Source organism: Homo sapiens, chromosome 3 (assembly GCF_000001405.40).
Source record: "Homo sapiens chromosome 3, GRCh38.p14 Primary Assembly".
In the NCBI taxonomy this organism is placed as follows: domain Eukaryota; kingdom Metazoa; phylum Chordata; class Mammalia; order Primates; family Hominidae; genus Homo; species Homo sapiens.
In genome coordinates this window covers 187,251,013-187,273,510 of record NC_000003.12, presented here as the reverse complement: position 1 = coordinate 187,273,510, position 22,498 = coordinate 187,251,013, and the positions used below count along the sequence as shown (strand labels likewise).

The 22,498-nt window shown below is 42.8% G+C and overlaps 1 protein-coding gene across 4 annotated transcripts in view; it reads left to right on the top strand.

Moving 5' to 3' along the window:
- Nucleotides 1–22,498, top strand: part of MASP1 (MBL associated serine protease 1) — a 74,456-nt gene that overhangs the window by 18,227 nt on the left and 33,731 nt on the right. For all 4 annotated transcript variants that reach the window (NR_033519.2, NM_001879.6, NM_139125.4 and 1 more), the window contains 5 exons: nt 10,791–10,968; nt 12,639–12,770; nt 16,651–16,847; nt 20,196–20,343; nt 21,759–21,877. Coding sequence is in view for 3 of the 4 variants with exons in the window: in NM_001879.6 (NP_001870.3) it covers nt 10,791–10,968; nt 12,639–12,770; nt 16,651–16,847; nt 20,196–20,343; nt 21,759–21,877 (774 nt within the window). In the remaining variant the exon portion in view is untranslated. The remainder of the gene's footprint in view (nt 1–10,790; nt 10,969–12,638; nt 12,771–16,650; nt 16,848–20,195; nt 20,344–21,758; nt 21,878–22,498) is intronic.

The following is a 22,498-nucleotide window of genomic DNA, read 5'->3' as shown; positions in this document are numbered from 1 at the left end:
CGCATCTAGGAAAATCTTTTGAAGCACAGCAAAGTAAAGAGAGAAATTCCTAGACTTAATGCCATCTTCTTGTGGACAGAAGCCTTTAGAGATCCCTCACTTTGCTCTGATCGTCTTTCATAACTTAAGAGTACCCTTTTGATGTCTCTCAGCCCCAGGACTGTTAGAAGGCTTTGTAAAGTGCAAAGAGCCAAACAGCTAATATGCCACCTGCCAGAGGAGGAGGCTGGGCTGGGAGGTCTCTCTAGGTGCCCTTCCAGCTCTATCAGCCTGGGTTGTGAATCCTCACAAAAGGGGAAACCACTGCTGATGGCTTCAGCGAGATTAGGAAAGGAGTGAAATGGAGAAATAGTATCCAGGGACAATCTCAGCTTCTTAATGTTCTCCAAATGCATGAAGTGACCCTTGCCCCACTAGCTGGGAGCCAGAACGTGTCATCTCAGTTGGTGGATGGATCTCAGCAGTCCTGTTTTTCTCATTGATGTACTGAGTGCTCAACGTATCCCGGGCACTTTTCTGAGTGTTTTATGTATATCACCTCCCATCCTATTTACAACAGTTCTGTAATATAAATAGGATTATTTTCACTATTTTACATATGAGAAAAACTATATACAGAGAATATTAGTTTCCTAGGACTTCTGTAATAAATGTCCACAAACTAGGTGGCTGTTTAAGTTGTTAAATTTCTTAACAACAGAAATTTGTTCTCACGCAGTTCTGGAGGTGAAAAGTCTGAAATCAAGGTGTCTGCAGGACCATGCTCCTTCTGAGGGCTCCAGAGGGGGATCCTTCCTTGCCTATTCTAGCTTTCTAGAATAGGCAGTTGTAGGCGGGCCGTCTTTGGCACTCCTTGGCTAGTGGCAGCATAACTCTAATCTCTGCCTCTGTCTTCACATGGCTGTCATCCCTCTGTGTGTGTCTCTGTGTCCAAACTTCCCTCTTCTTATAAGGATATCAGTCATTGGGTTAGGGTCCACTCTAACCCTTTGTAGTGTCATCTTAACTTGATTACATCTGCAAAGACCTGTTTCCATATAAGGTCACATGCAGAGAAACAGGGGTTAGGACTTGAACATGTATTCTAGGGGGACACAATTCACCCTACAGTACAGAGAGTTTAAGTAATTTTTCCAACATCTAATCATTGGAGAAGATCATATAAAAATGAGATGCCCCAATAAGTAAGGCGTTGCATCCTAAAGAAACAGAAAACCTAACAAATTGAAAACAATTCACAATTTGACTCACTCTTGAGAAGTCAACAAAGGGCACAGATGTTCTTATTGCAACCTTTCTTGAACATCTAAGATCTGTCTTTCTTCTCTTTTTCTGTCTCTCTCCCTTTCCTGTCCTTTAGGTCTTCATGAACTCTGGACTAAGAAACTCTTCTCTCTCCCCTTAGCCATCCACTTACACCCACCTACTCACTCCTTGGACTTCACAGTCACAAAAACTGTCCCCTGACATGAGACCCTCCCTGCCATACGCTGCCATCTGTGAGTTTTAGGTATTCTGAGTTTCTTGATATTTTCTCAGAATTTTACTTTTCACCTTATTGTTTATGAAGCAAAGATCTCTTTTTCAACTCTGTTGCGACCCAAGGGCTAGAGAAATGAGAGGAGGTGACAGAGTGCTGAGGAGTTCCCACGCCATGTTCTGTGATGAAGGGAAGACAAGGGGGGAGGAGGGTGATAGCAGATGAATGACCCTGCACTTCCAGGCTAGTTAAGTTGCCCTTCCTGTGTGCTCCCCTTGTTTGTTGACTGGAATTAACCAATTTTATACCATGGGGTGGAAGCTAGAGGGAAGCAGCTTTGAGCTCAAGTTTCTTTTTAAATGTAAAAAGAGAAGAAAAAGAAAAATTACCTATAGTTCCACTAACCATTGCTAACAGTTACTCTAATTCCTTCTACTTTTTATTTTCAATGCGTACTTTCAACATAGGTATAATTATACCATATATACTATTTTTTCTGCTTTTTCACTTAATATTGCCTCCTAAGAATATTTCCATATTGCTATAAACCCTCGATTAATGTGATAATTAATGGCTGCCTTGTATTTAGAAGTTAATGCTAACTTATTTCTCTAGAAAAGGATATTTACAGTTATTTCTAATATTCTAATATCATATGACTGCTATAAATATCTTTGTTTATAAAAGTTTTTTTCCACATTTGGAATATTTTTCCCTAGGTTATATTCCCAGATATGGAACCAACAGATAACTTTCAAAGTCAAGGATAATCCAAAACAGCCTGATCTATCTTGGAAGATACTGAGTTTCTCATCCCTGCAGCTGATAGTGAAAAGGTGGTATGATATTTGCTAAGGGTGTGGTAAAAAGATAATAAGTTAGACTAGGTGACTTTTGAGGCCCCAGAAACCCATGAGATTGTGGTTCTCCAAATTTCAATTTACAAACGTGAGCCTATTCTTTGTCCCAAATCACTTTCTTACTTGCTATAAAAGTTATCTATTGCTGTGTGATAAACCACTCCAACACTTAGCAGCTAAAACAATATCCATTTTGTTTGCTTATGATTCTGTGGTCAGGCGTTTGAGCTGGGCCCAATGAGATGGTCCTTTTGCTGGATTAGCCTGAGGTCCTTCATGCAGCTACAGTTGTTCAGAGGCATGTCTGAAGGTCATCTTTGGCCTTAGTTTCTCATCTGGTAGCTGATAGTGAATGCCAGTGAATTGGTCTAGACATTTTAATCAGATGGTTCATCTCTGCCCTATGTGGCCGCTGAGCCCTATGGCCTCACAGGGCTTCTTCACACAGTTGCCTCAGGGCAGTATTCCACATGTGAAAGTGTTAAAGAAAAAATTATTCAATGACACTTGTTAAAGTGTGGTAAGGCAGACTTTATTCAGGACAGGGATGAAAAGGATAGGGACCACGGCATGGGATTTTTGCAGTGAGGGAGAGAGATTGGGCTCTATTTTGAGTATAGCATGGGCAAGTGGGGATTTATAGCCAGGGAGCATGGTGGTGGTCAGTGGATGTTAAATTACTAATGGGAAACATCAGGGGTAAGAGGGGTTCTAGCTAAAATGACCTAACAGGATTCTTGCTGGTGACAGGCCAAGATGATCAGACAGCACCCGTGGGGATGGTGGAGGATGAAGATCCCAATTGGAACTCTAGGGTGAAAAGATTTCAGGGATGGGGCGTTCTTGCTGCACTGATTCAGCAAAGATTTTGCTAAAACTGAGTTTTACAAGGAAGTGCACAGATGAGTTGAGGAGACGTTTCAGAAGCCTGACTAAAATTTGGCTAAGCAAAGAATCTTTGTTAATAGCTGCAAGGTCCCTTGAGGCCTAAATTTGGAAATAGTATACTGCTTTTAACGCATCGTATACTTGTTGTCAGACCAAGTTAGGCCAATCAATGAGCAGTGAAGTTACATTGCAGAATTATCTGTGTGCAGAAATGGAAGAAAGTATTGTGAATAATTTTTGCAAACAATGTATTATTATCTATCTTAGGGACAAAATAATTCTTGTCCTTTGCATATGTGAAATGTGCTTTTGCCCCTTCTCTCAAAGTTTTATCCCATTAGCCGTTCAGGCTTGAACTCCAGGACCTCATGATCTAAATCATGTCTAGAATTAGATGACACACAAAGGTATAGCTCTTGAAGTATATCTCTTCTTGATCTAGAGATCTCTGAACCCAAAAGAAAAGTTATTTGCTCTCCACATGCTCAATATCTCCTTGTCTTGGTGAGAGAAGAATAAGATAACCACAATAGAATTTCCATTGAAAAATGGAAAAAATGAGAGGCATATAGCAATTACTGCTCCATAGTAATTCTGAAATTTAGCCAGGCACATGTTGCCAACTCCAGATACCAAGAATGTTCCTTGATTAGAGCCCAGTTCTGCTTCCTTGGAGGGGTGAGAGTGGATCCCCAGTCCATTGCTCTCTGGGAGTGGTGAGAGTGGCTCTTGCCTCTGATCTTGACTCTGCCTCTGGCTTCTTAGCTTTGTCTTCTGAGACATTCTTTCCTTTCTGTAAGAAATGGCCCATGTTTGTAGCTGAGTAGTCTATTCAGTTCGCTTTCTGTACATAGAAACCTGAGGCTCAGGAGCCTCTTTTCATTTTGAATTGCCACAGTCATTTCTAGTCCAAGCGGATATAGCTCCCTTAAAATCTTTTTGGGTCTCCAATGTAGCAGAATATAGTTCACTCCACTAGATGAAAAACATATCCACAATTCTTTTCAAAATAGGTCTTCCTACTTTGAAGGGCATGTCAGGGTGCTACAGAATAATGCTCTTAAGATTCTTAGGTGCCTTGTGGTCTGGCTGATAGGGAGTACTGGGTACTGCCTTAAATCTTCTAGGTCTTAACAAATGATTCTTACAGTCACACCATTGATTTGACATTTACCCTGAAGCCATTTTTGGTTTTAAAATCTTTTTTTTTTTTTTTTTGAGACAGTGTCTTGCTCTGTTGCCCAGGCTGGAATGCAATGGCATGATCTCAGCTCACTGCAACCTCCGCCTCCCAGGTTCAAGCAATTCCTCTGCCTCAGCCTCCTGAGTAGCTGGGACTACAGGCACACACCACCACGCCCAGCTAATTTTTGTATTTTTGGTAGAGATGGGGCTTCACTATGTTGGCCAGCCTGGTCTCGAACTCCTGACCTTGTTATCCACCCACCTTGGCCTCCCAAAGTACTGGGATTACAGGCGTAAGCCACCACACCCGGCCTTAAAATCTTTTACTAGTGGATAAACTGTTTTCCAACCCAGCTAGTTCTGGGCCCTCTATATTTCCTCTAAGTTCTGCTCACATATTGAAGACTTACTTCTTCCTGAAGTACATTGCCATACACAACCAGAAGTACACACTGACACTTTCAACATTCTGTCTAGAGATCTCCTTAGCCAGATATGCAAGTTCACTACATACAGTCCTTCCTTTCTTTTCTTTTCTTTTCTTTTCTATTTTCTTTTCTTTTCTTTTCTTTCTTTCTTCCTCTCTTTCTTTCTTTCTTTTTCATAGACAGAGTCTCGCTCTGTCCTCTGTTGCCCAGGCTGGAGTGTAGTGGCATGATCGTGGCTCACTGCAGCTTCAACCTCCCAAGCTCAAGTGATCCTCCCACCCCAGCCTCCAGGGTAGCTGGGACTACAGGCACATGCCGCACCACCACACCTGGCTAATTTTTGTATTTTTTGTAGAGACAGGGTCTTGCTATGATGCCCAGGCTGGTGTTGAACTCCTGGGCTCAAGTGATCCTCTCACCTTGGCCTCCCAAATTTCTGAGATTACAGGTATGAGGCATCACACCTTGCCCATTACATACATTTTTCTACCTTCTAAGTTGCCGCAGACAAGTTTTGCCAATTGATTCACCATTGCATTATTCAAGTGGTCTGTTTTAGACTCCTATAGCAGTCTCTTCACTGTTTTTCTAGAATTTACTTGCTAGCCAATCCTAAAACTGAAGCCACATATTCTAGTTTTTTGTTACTGCAGCATTCTACTTCTGGTATCAATAACTATTTCAGTCAGACTTCAATCAGGAAAGCAAAGTCTTTATGAGTAATGTGAGATAATGAATATTTATGGGTATTAGAACTCGTAATTATAGAAGGAGCTGGGCAAGTAAAAGTTGGAAATGGGGATTTAAAGGATTAGAGAAAAGGTCACCAAGCAGTTCTCTTAAAGCCCTGGCATGGGTGGAAATATTGGCATCTGCAAGGGAATCTGATAAGTCAATTCTACCTAAGGGGCCAAAGTGCAACAATGAAGGGGAGGCTCATGGAAAAGGGTCTCTGAGAAGCTGTTGGCTGTAAGCAGCTACCACCTCTGTGGTTTCACCTGAAAGTATCTGATGATAGGCATGGGCCACTGTTGGTCATCAGAGCCAGTAGTTATAAAGAGCCGGGTGCAGAGTAGAGGAACGTGAGAGCAAGTGAGGATGTGTTGGACACATCTACACATTTCTTTCTCTGTATGTGATTACAAAACAGCCTTCAGTGAGTAATGACTATTGCCTTTCAAACTTGCACAAATTCCTCTTTTGGCCAACTCTAATCTAGAACTATACAGGGAAAGAAAGTCTGGGGAACGTAGCTCCCAGATTAACTAAACTGGCAACAGGGTAATCCAGCATACTCCCTAAATGTCTGCCTAAATTAAGTCTGCAATGCTCCTCAAGGGCCCTGAGCAGATTTCAGAAAGGCTCCAGGAGATAGCTCGGGAACATTGACAAACAAAGTCATGAGGCATTTGGGTTATAAGACAGCCTTTGTTTATTTGCCTAATGTCTTGAGGAGCACTGGCTAGGGAATCAGGATGCTGCAATTGTGGACCTGGATCCACCACTCACTAGATTCATTTATCATGAGATTCATTCACCACTCACTAGATTCACCAGTCACCTTGCCCAATTTGTTCAAATTATCTGGGCTTCAATTTCCTCATCTATAAAAGGAGAGCAATCCCCCCTGGGCTGCTTTCTCTATACATTGCTTTGAGGAGCCAGTTGGTAGCTGTCAATGCATTTGTTTAGCTGATGTAATGAATTTATGGACATGCAGAGAGCAGCCATACATAGCGAGAGTAGCTGTCCTTCCCTAGAGTAGCTGTTCTTCCATAGAGTAGCTGTCTTCCCATAGAGTAGCTGTTCTTCCATAGAGTAGCTGTCCTTCCACAGAAATTTGGCCAATCCCAGCTGCCCTGCCATAGTTTTGCCTAGCAGGTTTGTGCTGTTTCTGCTGAGGTAGAAAACTCATAGAAACCAAAGCCTCTTGGCTTCTCCTTATCAGATGTGCCTTCCCAGCTCTCTGTCCTTAACAGAGCCCCTTTCTGACGCCAGGTAATGGGTAGTGGGGAGGAGCAGCTGAGATTTGAATACCCCAGGCCTTCACTATTTCCTCTCCCTACATACTCTACCCACCCCCTACCCTCCATCTATGATTTCTACCTGCCTACATTCTATTCACGTTTCAGTCTCCAGCTCAAAGATTATTCTCTTCTTCCTAAATGTTTTCTGATTTCCCTCAGCTGGATTCAATCTTTTCCATTCCTTAAACCCCCAGGGCAGCCCATCTTTGATTGCATTTACGATACCCTGAGAATACCCCAACACATATACCTTTGAGTACTTATCTTATTCTTCTACCAAGTGTCACATTCCTAGAGGCAGGGAACTTGCTTATTGAGCTCGTATAACAAATAAATAATTTTTGGCACCCTTCACATTAAAGTGTAGACAGAACTTAGTACACACATATTTGGTGAATTGAGTTGAAAGAAAACAAATTGAGGACATACAGCCACATGTTGGTGTCCTAAATAACAATAGTCTCTAAGGACATAGTCGCCCACAAGAAGAAATAGAAAAATGAAGAGTTTATTATTCGCAGCCACATGGGTCTCCATTATTATGAATGTTTTGTCTTCACTTGATAAGGTCCCTCCATCATGTTGATATGATGACCTCTGAGAGGGGACAGTCCAAATAGAAGCTAGGTCTCAATCTGCCTATACTCAGAGGTAAATGATCTTTATAGAACTCCATATTCCACAGCACAGGATGCAAATATTAACCGGGACCAGTGACCCCTCTGTTTAGGTTATGACTGGAGCTGTCACTGAGCCACATCCTCTCTAAGAGACAGTCCATGCACCCAAGATAAGGTTTCAAGAGGCCTTTGAGCCAGGAAAATTGTTTGGCCAAGTGTCTGTGTCTTTAGTCATGTACTCTCTGGGTTGGTGGGTTCTTTTCTCTCATCTCAGAATAGTTCCCAAAGCAAAACTGATATCAGAAAATGTTCATGTTATCTCTCCAGCCTTGAGCAAGTCACTTCCCCTCTCTTGACCTCTGTTTCCTATAGAAGGAGGCAGATAGAAATAGCTCTTAAAGGTCCCGCCCAGCTCTGATATTCCAGGACTCTATTCTGAGCTGCAGGCTGAATTCCCAGGGCCCCAGGCTACTGGCCTTCTCTTCTCTGCTTCTAAAAGGATGTATGGCTCAAATTTTCCCATGGGCCTCAGCTGGGGCATGCTTCCTGTTCTCTGGAATACTGTGGCTCTGCAGGTGATAACCATTTATCTGATTTATCTGCCATTATGAAAAGGTCCTTCAGCCCAGACGTTACAAGGAGGGAGGTCATTTATCACAGACCCTCAGTAGTATCTCCCTAATCCAAATGACCAGTGTGTTCACTTGAAAATGTTCATGTCCCAGTCACTGCAGAACCCAAGAGGCACTGGGGATACCAAGTTCCAGAAAGAAGCCTGTGTAGCTGGAACTATTAATGCCCAAGGCATGACTATTCATTATTAACAAATTCAAGTTCATCCGCAAGCAGTAATCCTGCATATGTTAAAACTCCTGCTTACCATCTTCTGGTTGGTTTATATAATATATGACTATGATGATTTGTTAGAACTGTGTTAGACTATGATGACTGCTATGTCTGGAATTGGAAAGGAATCTAGAGCTCAGCTAGTCCAAACCCCTGTTTTTACAAGTGGATAACTGAGAGCTAGAAAGGAGATGGCCCAAAATGCAGAATACGGCAGTGTCAGGAACAGGACCCAGGACCTCCAACTGCCAGGTTCCTGTATATCGTATTACTCCAAAGCAGAGGTCACCAAGATGGTGTACTCTAGTTCATGCAGTTACTCACAGAAGAATCCCTTTCCCAGGCCCTCATTCTAAATCTATTTAGCTTTTTTTTATTAAGTTCTAGCAAAAGCAGTTAACTGGTTTCTAATTCACAACATATTAAAAATAAGCAGACAGAAAAGTACAGTGAATAGGCTGATAAAAAGACAGGAAATAAAACATGACATAAAGAAGACTTCAGAAGTTCAAGGCTTTATAGTCCGGCAATGTTTAACGCCAGGTCAAGCGACATTACACAACTCAATATCCCCAAGATTATCACTTTAATATAGTATCACAATGGTTGACATTCATAACAATGTCCCTGGATCACCAAGAAAGGGTTAGCATGTTTCACTTGAGAAAGTGGGTACTTCTTTAAAGTACTTTTTTTTTTTTAAGTGTTACACCAAAAAGAAAATTTTTAGTTATAGTTAGGTAAAGCTTTGGCTATCTGGAAAACTGAGTCAGATAAAATAACACAGCAGCTGGGAGGTTCAAGGAAGTGACATTTCAGCTGTGTGCAGATAGGCACATTCTATAGTAACAAGACTGGTGTGAGTTCGGCTGGTATCTGCAGAGAAGAGGAATAAATAGCAAAGCCATGATCTCATCTTCTGTTTACACTTCAATTCCCAAAGTTAGTGATTAATTGTACTTGCGTTTTGTTGCCAGGGCAAATTGTTTTTCTTTGAAACTCCCACTTATTTTAAATAAATAAACCATTAGTTTCAAAACAGGAGTGTCAAATGTCAAGATATTTCTGACATGCTAAGCTAACGAACAAAACAATGAATTCATTAGAAGCTACTAGAGATAGCCGCCTTTGAGAACTTTTCTCTAATGACTTTGAAAGGCAGCAGGAATCATTCTTGGTAAGAGATTTTTTTCATGCATCTTGGCTAAAATTTGGTCCAGAGGTTGCAAACACAAATACAACTTAAAAGAATTGGATTAGGTATAAGATAATCGAATAGATACGTCAAGAATTTATACTCAAATAAATATACCAACTAGCTATCATACGAAGCTTCCCAAACTCCTGTCTCACATAAAATCAGCTTTAAGCCACCAGTTTAGGATCTCTGCTTGGATCTCTGAATTCGCACAGGGCCTCTGGCTCTTCCAAAGAAGGGAATTCTTTTAGCAAACAGGCATGTTTTTTGCATCTAAGTCTTAACACAAACATGTACACACAGAGATACACACTCAAACTATTTTTGGGTGATTCCAATAAATAGTTTCTGTATTAAGACTGCCTATTAAACATTAGTTTTCATTACATGACTTTCCTGCTTAAAAGTTTTCAGTGTCTTCCACTTACTCACAGAATTAATGGCATTCAAGGTCAACCATAATTTTCTTTCCATGTATCCTTCCAAGTACATCTCCTCCTACAATCCCCACAGACTCCCTGGCTACTCACTGTTCACAGAATGGGGCTTGTACTTTCAGTTCTTGTAAACAAATGTTTATTGGATAACTATTATGTGCCAGGTCCTGTTCCATGCACTGAAGACACATCTATAAAGAAAATAAAGTCCTTCTCTCCTGTAGCTTATATTCTAATGTGGATTGTTTGCCTGCTTTGAGTGCATATGCAGTGCTTCTGCTTGTGTGAAAGCATTTGTCACACTGTGTAATACCTGCCTGTGTCTGTGTTCCTCAATCTCAACACTGCTATTGTGTGCACAGCACTGTGTCTATCTCTCATCACCTCCATCTCATGCTTTGCTCGGCAGTAGGCACACACTGGATACTCAATGAATGACTTATATTGTGTATACAGTTTCCATTCTTTGGAAATGTGGTAAGTTCCTGTTGTGCAGAGAATCTGTCTGCGAGGTTATCTAACTTTTTAAAACTTTCATATTGAGTTATTTTTAATAAATAAGCTGCTTGGTTATTGACAGCAACAACAAATATCAAGCTACTTCTAATGGAACTAAATAAGACGAATGAAACTGATCAGATGTCCACATTGAATTAACTTGTAATGCGTCTTTTCTCAAGAATCCTTAACCTCCTTTCTTTGGGTTTCTCAGGCTGACTAGCCTACTCTTGGGTGGCCCCTTCCTTTTTCTTTCTAAAGATAAGGAAAGAAGCCTAGCTGGGAAACTGCTCATCTTGTTCCCTTTCTCTTTGACCTCAAAGGTAGAAACTGAGGACCAGGTGCTGGCAACCTTCTGTGGCAGGGAGACCACAGACACAGAGCAGACTCCCGGCCAGGAGGTGGTCCTCTCCCCTGGCTCCTTCATGTCCATCACTTTCCGGTCAGATTTCTCCAATGAGGAGCGTTTCACAGGCTTTGATGCCCACTACATGGCTGTGGGTAAGTTGGAGAAGTGACTCATCCTCAGGTCTCTCTCTCTCTCTCCGAAGATGAAAACTGCCTTGTGACCTCTCCTTTACGATGGAAATCTGTGTGTGCACCACATAGATTTTACCATTAATGTCTTAATGCATTTGCTCTATCACGTATCTATCCATCTATCTACCCTCTATCCATCCAGCAATTCATCTTTTACAAAGTGTTTTAACGTAAATTGCAGACATCAGTATACTTCTTCCTAAATAATTCAGCATGCATATTATTTTGCTAGAGTTTCATATTTGTTCACAGCATTTTTTCTTTTTGTGTAAAATTGACATAAAATGGAATATACATATCTCATGTATACATTTGTTGAATTTTGAAAAATCTGTATTTGTGTGTAACCCAAACCTCTAACAAGACACTGAACTTTACCACCAGCCCAGGGGGTTCCTTTGTGTCCCTGCCAGTCAATCTCTGCTCCCACTTCCCTTAGAGGAAACAACTGTTTTGATTTTTTTTCTGCTGTAGATTAGTTCTTGCCTCTTCTAAAACTTCATTTAAATGAAAACATACAGAATACATTTTGGGGGTGAGGATTCTTTTACTCAGCATAATGTTTTTGAAGTTAATTCATGTGTCGCATGCATCAGTAATTTGCTCCTTTTCCTGGCAGAGTAATTTTCCATTGTATGAATATACTAAAGTATGTTTACTCATTCTCTTATTGACGGCTACTTGGAATCTCCCCATTTTTTAGCTCTCACTAACAAAGTTTTTATGAACCTTCTTGTGCAAGTCTTCTTGCAAACATATGTTTTCAATTCTATTGAGTAAATATGTAAGAGAAGAATTGCTGAGTCATAGGATAGGTATACGTTTAGCTTTATGAGACATTGCCAGACCTTTTCCAAAGCAAATGTAACATTTTTTATCTGTCCACCAATGTATGAGAGTTCTGGCTGCTCCACATCTAAACCAACATTAGATGTTGTCAATTTTTAAAAATTTTAATCACTCTGGTGAGTATGTAGTGGTACCTCATTGTGGTTTAAACTGCATTCCCTTAATGACTAGCAATGTTGAACATCTTTTCATGTGCTTGTTGGCCATTGGTTTATCCCTTTTGGGGAAATGTACATTCAAATGCCTAGGACAGGGCTTGACCCACATTAGGGGCAGAAAGAAAGAAAGAGGTAGCATGAGGTAGAAGTTAAGAGCACAAGCTCTGTACCCAGCTTGTCTGTATTTAAATCCTGGGTCTGCCACTTATTATCTGTGTGATTCTAAGTTTGTTAATGCCTCTATGTCGCCATTTCATCCTCCATAGAATGTGACTAGTAACAGAATGCATAGTAACAAATGTGTAATTCTTCCTGAGGTTGTTGTCCCACACACAGTTATTATTATAACTGTTAGAGGATAGTGGTCCCACCAGAAGTCAAGTTACCTGGGTTTGAACTTGGCTTTTTGTGACCTTGGGTAAGTTGCCTAACCTCTCTGAGTTCCAGTTTCCTAGTCTGTAAAGTGAAGATAATGGCTACCTCTGGGCTGTATGAGAGGATTAAATGAGAGAACGCATGAATCTCCTAACATAGTGAGTGGCCCATATCAAGTGCTCTATAAATGTTGGCTGTAGTCTTCATCATCATGCATGTATTGATGGAGAGGCTTTACCTGCCCTACAGATGTGGACGAGTGCAAGGAGAGGGAGGACGAGGAGCTGTCCTGTGACCACTACTGCCACAACTACATTGGCGGCTACTACTGCTCCTGCCGCTTCGGCTACATCCTCCACACAGACAACAGGACCTGCCGAGGTAGAGCCTACCAATGATTGTATGCATTGCCCTTATAGGCCACATCCTCAATAACATTAGATGAGGCTCAGAGAAAGACAGATATGCAATAGGAACAAGTAAAAATGAAGTCAATGATGCACCTCAGACACCACATGGATGAAGATGCAGAAATGCCCACCCAGCCTGGAAACCTGATCTTGGGTTCCCAAAGGAGAGAAGCTCTAGACTATTTGGCCATCTTTCTTTCTGGGGCAGCATTTTTCACTATACAGGTTGCTGTCTCCTATCCTATTGTAGGCAATTGGTCTGGTCAAGTTAGGGGAAAACTTGGGTTTCCCAGTTCCTTCTCTTTGAGCCACGAATTATGCTTTACCCAGCAACTCCTTTTCTCTTCTTTTCCATGGCCCCTAAGTTCCTCTACAATAGAGAGACCTCAGTCCAAAGCAAAGAAGTGAGAGAGGAAAGAGGCAAACAGAAACAGCCAGAAAACTTCCCATTCCTTCTATCTATCTTTGTTTTCATCTATCATCAACGTACCTACTATGCTATAGTCTCGTGCTTAGGGAGGGATGGAGAAATGGAAGGGTTTAGCCACTTTCTAGGAGGAGCTCTTGGGCTAGTGGGGTAATGGGCATGTAAGCAAATGGTGAAGTGTCTTATGGTCTCCATTTTAACATTAATGTTTCCATTACATTTATGTAATGGAAGTATGGACATAGCACAATCAGACCTGTGCAGGCAAACACTTCCCAGAGTTGTGACCCTTGACAGAGATGAAAGAATAAAGAGAAGAAGGGCCTTCCAGGCAGAGAGAAGAGCTTCTGCAAACAGTCAGAAGTGTGGTAGAACTTGGAATGTTTCAGGGAACAGTCAATAGATTAGTGTGGTCCAGGATAAGCATCTGTGCTTGAAATCTCACTTGGAAGCTGAGTGAGGGATCACTGGGGGAGCACAAGTCTGGAGACAAAAGTTTTTTTCTTCCTCCTTCAAAACCTGCTATTTGCTTCTGAATAAAACCCTATATAACACATCAGTATAAAGCAATCCAAAACCAAAAGAACAGGCACGTGCAGGATTTTTCTTAAAGAGTGTATATTTTCTATTTTTTTATTCGGTTAAGTTCTTCTTGAGTATCTACTATGTGTTCAGTACAGTCAGGGCCAAGAATGCTTAGGGCAGAGCAAGGTTTCTCACTCATTTTCTTCATTTTCACCCTTCACCAGGAGCTTTTTTAAATATAATTTTCCTAAGGCCCCCACCATGAAATTTTAATATCACAGATAGACTATATATCTGTTTATGTACTGTATGTCCATCTGTGTATTGTGCATTTAAAAAGCAAGACCTTCCCCACCAAGAAGGAATTTTAGCTTTCTTGAGGGCAAGATCGCCCCCATGAGAATGCTTGGGGTAAAAAATGAAAACAGTCAGGAACTCAGGAGACTTCCATCTTCACCTTGTCCTGCAGCTCATAGCTGTGAAACTTTAAGATAGTCAAGACCCCTTTTTCAGAACTACAGTTTTCTCATTTGCAAATAAGCAGAATGAACAAGGGCGTAGAAACATTGACATCCCAGATCTAGGATGAACTGGCCCAAGGGTAAAGACTTAGTGACACATAAATGTTCCTTAGCAGGGCTAAAGTCACGTCTGGGTTCCCAGGACAGTGGATTCTCGCGTGCAGTAAATGCAGTGGGGAACGAAGCAGAATTCCTGCACTCACAGAACTTACAGTCTACTGGGAGCAAGAAAATCAATATAGGGAGCTGTTAAAAGAAAAACTTCAGACAAATTAAATTTAACAGAGTTTAACTGAGCAAAGAACAATTTGAGAATCCTCCCCTGCACCCACCCTACCACCACCAGAATATGTTCAGAGCAACTCCAGGGTTGCTCATGCTGGATAATATTTATGGGAAGTAGAAGGAAAGTGATGGACAGAAAATGGAAGTCAGGTACAGAAACAGCCAAATTACTTACAGCTTGGTATTTGCCTTGTTTGAAGGCAGTTTGAACAGATGGCCACCCGTGACTGGCCAAAACTCTGTGATTGGTACTGTTAACTTAAAAATCAAGATTACAAATCTGTAAGTTTAGAAAAAGAGAGGAGATTTTATTCCTTATGAAGGGTTACAGCAGGTGGCCGTCCTCATAGTCTGGGAAGCACCACCTCCAGCCAAGACCAGAGACAGGCACTTAAAAGGAGGAGGGGTTGAGATAGGAGCTTTATGCTGAACAGGTTGGCTAAACATACATATTCAACAGGTTATAGGAGGAGCTGTGAATATTCATAAGAGTGGTCCTGACACATGCATATTAAACAAATATGTATGCAACACATGACCCATGTTCACTTTGGGATGGAGACTTCACATTAAATGTATTACAGTTAGGGTCTAAACGTCCTTTCAGGATGGGAGACATTCAGGTGTGCAGCCTCTGTAAACTGGCGAGAACCAGGCCATGGTCAGAAGTCTCTTATCAAAAGAAAGTGACTGAAATCAATGTCTTGTCCATTCAAAGCTACAGTTATGGCTGGTGGAACAGGGTGGGGATCAGACAGTCAGCATCTGGTAGAGCTGAAAATTGTTTTCATATCACTTACCACAAGGCCAGTACTTGTTCAGCTGCTGGAGAAAAAGAAAAACTTTGTAGCATCGTTAGAACATAGTTTATGCTTTCAGTGTAGGGATGCGTGACTTAACCCTTGCCTGGCATGGCCTTAGTTCCTTCATCATTTATAATTTGGTATTTTATTTCCACAAGGAGTCTGTTTTCTCACTCTCATGATCTCTATTTAACATTAATGTTGGTCAGTTGTTGTGTCCAAACTGCAGAGAAAAGGGGATATAGAAGGAGTGTCTAACCTACCACTCCATCATGGCCAGGAATTCCGTTTTAAGGTTTTTCTGGAGATCCTTTGCCACAGGGGGCCCATTAGGTCAGTGGAGGGCTTAGGATTTTATTTTTAGTTTACAGTAAGACAGTAGATTACAGTCTACTTAAAAATCCAGTTAGGTTGCAGTTCACCATGTACGCAGAACCCTTCAGGCTGAATTTAAAATATGTAAGGAGGCCGGGCGAGGTGGCTCACACCTGTAATCTCAGCACTTTGGGAGGCCAAGGCAGGAAGATGGCTTGAGTCTAGGAATTTGAGATCAGCCTAGGCAACATAGCAAGACCCCATCTCTACAAAAACTTCAAAAATCAGCCAGGTGTTATAGCACGTGCCTGTCGTCCCAGCTATTCAGGAGGCTGAGGTGGGAGGATCACTGGGAGAAGGTGGAGGTGGAGGTGGAGGCGAAGGTTGCAGTGGGCTGAGATGGCACCACTGCACTCCAACCTAGGTGACATAGTAAAGTTCTGTCTCAATAAAATAAAATAAAATAAAATAAGTAAGAAGGAAGCTTAAGGCTACATTTAGTTGAACAGAGTGAATAGCACTATAAAGAAAAACAAAACAAAGACAGGGGTTAGACAGTGAGGAGTGAGGGTGTGTGTCAAGGGCCTGTAGGAGATGAGGGATCTCCTGAAGTTCTGGGTACAGGGAGGACATGATCACAGAGGTCCAGGCATCCCCCTGACCACTCCATCTCAAAACCCTTCCCTCTCAGATCCCTCTCCCTGACCCCCATACCAGAGGATCTGATGAGAAGGATCTTCACACAGGGTAAACAGCCCTGGACAGACAATTAGAAAATCTGTGCTTGAATCTCAGCTCGGTAAATTACTAGACATGCGACCTTGAGCTTCATTTTTCCCATCTGTAAAATGGAGATGCCGATACCTTCCCTGTCTACTGCTTGGGACCATTGGGAAAATCATATAGTAACAGATAAGCCAGGCTTGCTATGGCTGTGGTTGCGATGCGCCATTTTCTCTATTATGTTTCCAACAGTGGAGTGCAGTGACAACCTCTTCACTCAAAGGACTGGGGTGATCACCAGCCCTGACTTCCCAAACCCTTACCCCAAGAGCTCTGAATGCCTGTATACCATCGAGCTGGAGGAGGGTTTCATGGTCAACCTGCAGTTTGAGGACATATTTGACATTGAGGACCATCCTGAGGTGCCCTGCCCCTATGACTACATCAAGGTGAGCCTGCAATGAACACTTGTCCTGGAGATGCTGGAAAATCTTGGCTGAGTTGGGAAAATTGATATTGCGGAACCTTCACCTTCTTCTCCCAGGATAGAGAGCCTAGCAGCTAGTTCCTCAAAAAGGCATTATTTAAAATAATATCTACCATCTTAGTTAGATCTATTCCAGGAATCTCTGATCCGAAATGACCCCACTGGCCACTAGGGTGGCTTGAGGAGGAGAGTCGTGAATCTGCATTTTAGAAAGGTCTCTGGCGGGCACGCCCAGCCTCATGAGCACGCCTCCCATGCCGTCACACAGGGCCCTGTGCACAGAAGGGCCTCATGCTTGGTTTAATAAACATATGAAACTATTTTTCTTCTGTTTATTTTTTTAACCTACTACCAAGGCAAAGAAGAATGTATGAAAATTTTAATTTGTTTTAAATAAGGGTCCCCGTATTTTCATTTTGCCCCAGACCTCACAAATTATGCTGCTGGGCCCACTTGCGGGAAGAGGCTATGTCAAAGGCAAATAAAGACGGAACAAATACCACAGGCAAATAACTACTCAACTTGTGGTTATTTCAATATTATAATTAAGAAGGAATGGCAGCCTGAATTTGAGCCATGGCTGGGATAATGGGGGAGATATTTTCGAGATATGTGGAAAGTAAAACCAGCAATTCTTATAGAGTGATCAGCCAAGACATCCAAGTAGAGCTGAATATTAGGGTCTAGCTCAGAAGAGACCCTGAGCTGGGGATAAAGATGGGTGCCATGAAATGTTTAAAGAGGTGCTGATTTAAACTGTGGAAATGGCGGGATGTCCTAGAAAAAAAAAAAGGAAGCTAGAACATAATAGATTATGAGACCTAGATGGAGGAAGAGGAACCCACAGAAGAGGTCAGAAAGAGCCAGAAAATGAGACTGCCCAGGAGAAAGCTGTCAACAGTGAGAGAGGCAGAAAAGCCTGAGAGGACACAGAAGAAAACTCTAGAACTTAGAGCCTGGGCTGTCCCCTACTTGTGTACAGAGGCTAAGAGGCAGCTTGACTGGAGGGGGTTAGCAGGAAGCATAGGCCACCGGTTTTCTATTTTGCTGTGTTAGCAAACTACCACAAACATAACAGCTTAAAACAATGCCAATTTCTTATCCCAGCATTGTGTCAGTCAGAAATCCCAGTGAGCACAATGGGGTTCTTTGTTCAGGGTCTCATGAAACTGAAATCAAGGTGTCAGCTGATGGAGCTCTTATCTAGAGGCTCTGGAGAAGAATCAACTTCCAAGATCATTTAAGTTGTTGGCAGAATTCAGTTCCTTGCAGATGTAAGACTAAAATCCCCTTCTTCTTCCTGGCTGTCAGCCAGTGGTGGCTCTCAGCTCTAGAAGTTGCGCTCAGATACTTTTACATTGGCCCCTGCCATCAGAGACAGTCCCTTCCATCAAATTCCTATTACACTTCAAATCTCCCTGACTTCTGCTGCTGCTACCAGCAGGAGGAAACTGTGTTGAATGGGCTCGTGTGATTGGGTTAGGCCCACCCAGATAATCTCCCTCACTTTAGGTCAACTAATGAATAACTTTAATACATCTGCAAAATCCCTTTTGCCATTTAACATAACATCATCACAAAGTAACACTAGGGGTGAAGGTCAGGAGGACCACCCTAGAATTCTGCCTGCCATGGTGTCCCAGAAGCTACACATGGGAGCCTCACCCAAGCACACAACCTCTTGGGGCTTCATTTGTTTCCCCTCTCCTCAATAAGGACAGGACAAAGATATCACTTGGGATTGCAGAAGTCACCAAATGATAGATAAGGAGTCATGGCCCTCAAAGATGGGGAAAAAACAGGTTAAAGACATGGAAAAGAACCAGGACTGAGAGGTGGGGAATCCGGATCAGATAATAGAGCCTATTGCCTTCTCTCCCCCACTGCCCCCAACCTCCTGCAAACTCATCACCTCCCTCCTGCTCAGCTGCAAAACTTCCCAACTGTTTTTTGTTTTGTTTTGTTTTTTTGCTTCCACTCTTGCCCTACACAATCTATTCTCCCATAGCATTGAGGGTGATCTTTATAAAAGCTAGATTCGATCGAGTTTGCACTTGAAATTAAACCTAAATCTCTCAACACAAAGTGGCGTTTGTCTGTTTTCCAACCTCATGCCACAGCACTCCCACTGCCCAGCCAGCCTGGATTCCTGCCTGTTCCTAACACTAGGCAAGCTCTTTCCCACCCTTGGCTTTGACCTTTACATATGCAGTTTTCTCTCCCTATAAAGTGTTCTTCCCTTCTCTTCAAATAGGCTCATACTCATCCTACATATCTCAGATCCCCAATGCTACCTCAGAGAAAGGCCTTCCTTGATTACCTAAAGTTATTATCTATTATATTACCATTATAGGAATGATTACTTCTATAGGTTACATAGATTTTACATCAATTATAAACATACAGCATATATTTCTTTTGTATATGCATATCATCTTGATTATTTTTATAACCCTTATGACAGCCTACAATTATTTTGTTTATTATTTCTTATTAGTCCCCCCAACTAGACTGCAGGTTCTTTGACAGCAGAGATCATCTCTGCTTTATGCACCAGACAGCACTCTGCCCTTCTCTGAGCCACAATACGTTCATCTTTAAGCAGAGGATTTTTTTTTAATTTTACTTTAAGTACTGGGATACATGTGCAGAACATGCAGGTTTGTTACATAGGTATACATGTGCCACGGTGGTTTGCTGCACCCATCAACCCGTCACCTAGGTTTTAAGCCCCACATGCATTAGGTACTTGTCCTAATGCACTCCCTCCCCTTGCCCCGCCACCCCCTGACAGGCCCTGGTGTGTGATCTTCCCCTCCCTGTGTCCATGTGTTCTCATTTTTCAACTCCCACTTATGAGTGAGAACATGCAGTGTTTGGTTTTCTGCTCCTGTGTTAGTTTGCTGAGAATGATGACTTCCGTCTTCATCCATGTCCCTGCAAAGGACATGAACTCATCCTTTTGTATGGATGCATAGTATTCCACAGTGTATATGTGCCACATCAATGCCAGTCTATCATTGATGGGCATTTGAGTTGGTTCTACACCTTCGCTATTGTAAATAGTTAAGTAGAGGATTATTAACCTGCCTTGTCCACGTCAAGAGCCATTGTAAATTATAAAAGAGAGAATGAAGATGAAACCATTTGGTGAATGGTAAGGCTCACTAAAAACCTAAGTGAATACCAAGGGTTCATATGGAAGCTTCCAGAAAACCCAGAGTGCAGTGGAGAGGTGTTACCTGCAGTGGCCATTTTGGCTGCTCAGATGGAACACTCTATTTCTCTCTCTCTCTCTCATATTTTGCAGATCAAAGTTGGTCCAAAAGTTTTGGGGCCTTTCTGTGGAGAGAAAGCCCCAGAACCCATCAGCACCCAGAGCCACAGTGTCCTGATCCTGTTCCATAGTGACAACTCGGGAGAGAACCGGGGCTGGAGGCTCTCATACAGGGCTGCAGGTAACCTCTTCCCTCCCAGGTCACACCGAGCTGCTGTGCTTAGCCCTTGCAGAGGCAGTGGCTGAGGGAGGAGGTGTGCAGGCTTGGATCTCCTCTGGAGACCTGATGGGACTCCCAGTTGAGCAGCTGGGGACCAAGGCACGTGCTTTCTCCTGACTCAGTTTTCCATCTATAAAATGGGGGCAAGGGCAACAATAATGTTGGGTGGACTAGACTGATGGTTTTCAAAACATGTACTTCAGTATCGCATAGAGAGATTAAAGAAAAAGAAATCTTGTTTCCTGAACTCTACCCCTCACACAGTGATTCAGTAGACTTGAGGAGGGCCTTTTCAGCTCCAGCCTTCTCCAAGTCTAGGGCTAGAATTTGGATGTGGGTTTCTAGCCCAGAATGTTTCATTATGGTGCTTTGCCTCCTTGTGGGCCCCCCATCAGCAAAGCCCATGGGTCTCATGCCCCCATCCCCCAAGTCAGCCAGTCCTGGCCCAAACCTTGATCGAGCCATTCAACCTGCAGTAACTGGTCTGTAGGAACCCAAGGAAGGAGAGGGTGAACATCAGTGACAAAAGATCGCAGCTGGGCATGACTAATCTAGTTCATAAACTAAAACTCTGGCCCTGCCTGCATTATCACATACACTGCTCAGATGCGGGAGAGTAGAGAAGATCTTAACAAAGGAGAGTTTGTCTCAGAAAAAGTGTCAGGGATAGGCCCAGGCCTGAAGAGCCTGTCAGATTTAGCCTTTCAAGGAGAGGACTCAGAGGCATATGATCACAGTCTTTCTAATGCTTTGAAGAAGGGCCTCGGGAAGAAAGAGCAATTTGGGTCATCCTTGGTGGCCCAAGAGGACAAATGAGTGAAAATTACAGGGGCGCAAATTTCAGTTAAGTAGGAATGCAGTGTTCATGTAATCAGCAGAGTCCGTGCCTGAAAGGTTAGGGAGGCATTGAGCTCCCTGTCACTGTGTCCCTGAGCTGCCATGCTTAGCCCTCCCAGGGGTGGTGGCTGAGGGAGGAAAGATGCAGGTAGTGGCTGAGGGAGGAGGGATGCAGGTTTGGACCTGGTGGGGCTCCTAGCTGAGCAGTCTGTTTGGCATCTACTGCGGAGGATATTTTAAGAGAAGCATCAGACAAGGATTGGATTTAATGACATTTAACATTCCTCCCAACCCTGTGTTTTAATGAAATCATCTGGTCAACCATTTCATTCTACAAGTAAGGACATGGTGGTCCAAGTTGGAAACTGCCCTATTCACGGTTCCAGAATTAGTCTCTTGCAGGGCTTGGAAGATCCATGCCTCCAATACCCAGTTCCATGTTTTATTCACCTTCATCAGGCCTTGCTTTCTAGGGACTGGCCCTTTAAGGTCAGAATTCTCTTTTCTCACCTGCTGTTCTTTCATTTGCTCCTCACCAGGAAATGAGTGCCCAGAGCTACAGCCTCCTGTCCATGGGAAAATCGAGCCCTCCCAAGCCAAGTATTTCTTCAAAGACCAAGTGCTCGTCAGCTGTGACACAGGCTACAAAGTGCTGAAGGTGCAGAGCCTTGCCTGGGAAAGGGGAGTGACCAGGCCACAGAAACTCTCGAAACCTGCCCCTCCCCAGGGCAGATGGGCTGCCAGAACTTGTCATAGTTCCAGCACAGAATTTCCTAGCTGCCCATCAACTTCTCAAATGCTCCAGAAATTCCAAAGCATGCGTCCCAGGCGGTCTCACACTCTGAAAGTGGCACAAAAGTTTGTTTTTTTTTTTTTTTTAATCAGAGCATGAGCTGGTTTGAATTTTTAAAATATGGATCCATACAGCTCTATAATCAAGGCTGAGAACTGTAACAAAGTTCATCGGGCTTATAGAGGGGAGTGGAGTGGGATACCAGGAAAGGAAGTAAACAGTTTAAAAGTAGCAAATGGGGCTGAGCATGGTGGCTCATGCCTGTAATCCCAGCACTTTGGGAGGCCCAGGCGGGTGGATCACCTGATCTCAGGAGTTTGAGACCAGCCTGGCAAATATGGCAAAACCCTATCTCTACTAAATAATACAAAAAATAGCCAGGTGTGGTGGCGGGCGCCTGTAATCCCAGCTACTTGGGAGGCTGAGGCAGGAGAATCACTTGAATCCAGGAGGCAGAGGTTGCAGTGAGCTGAGATCACGCCTTTG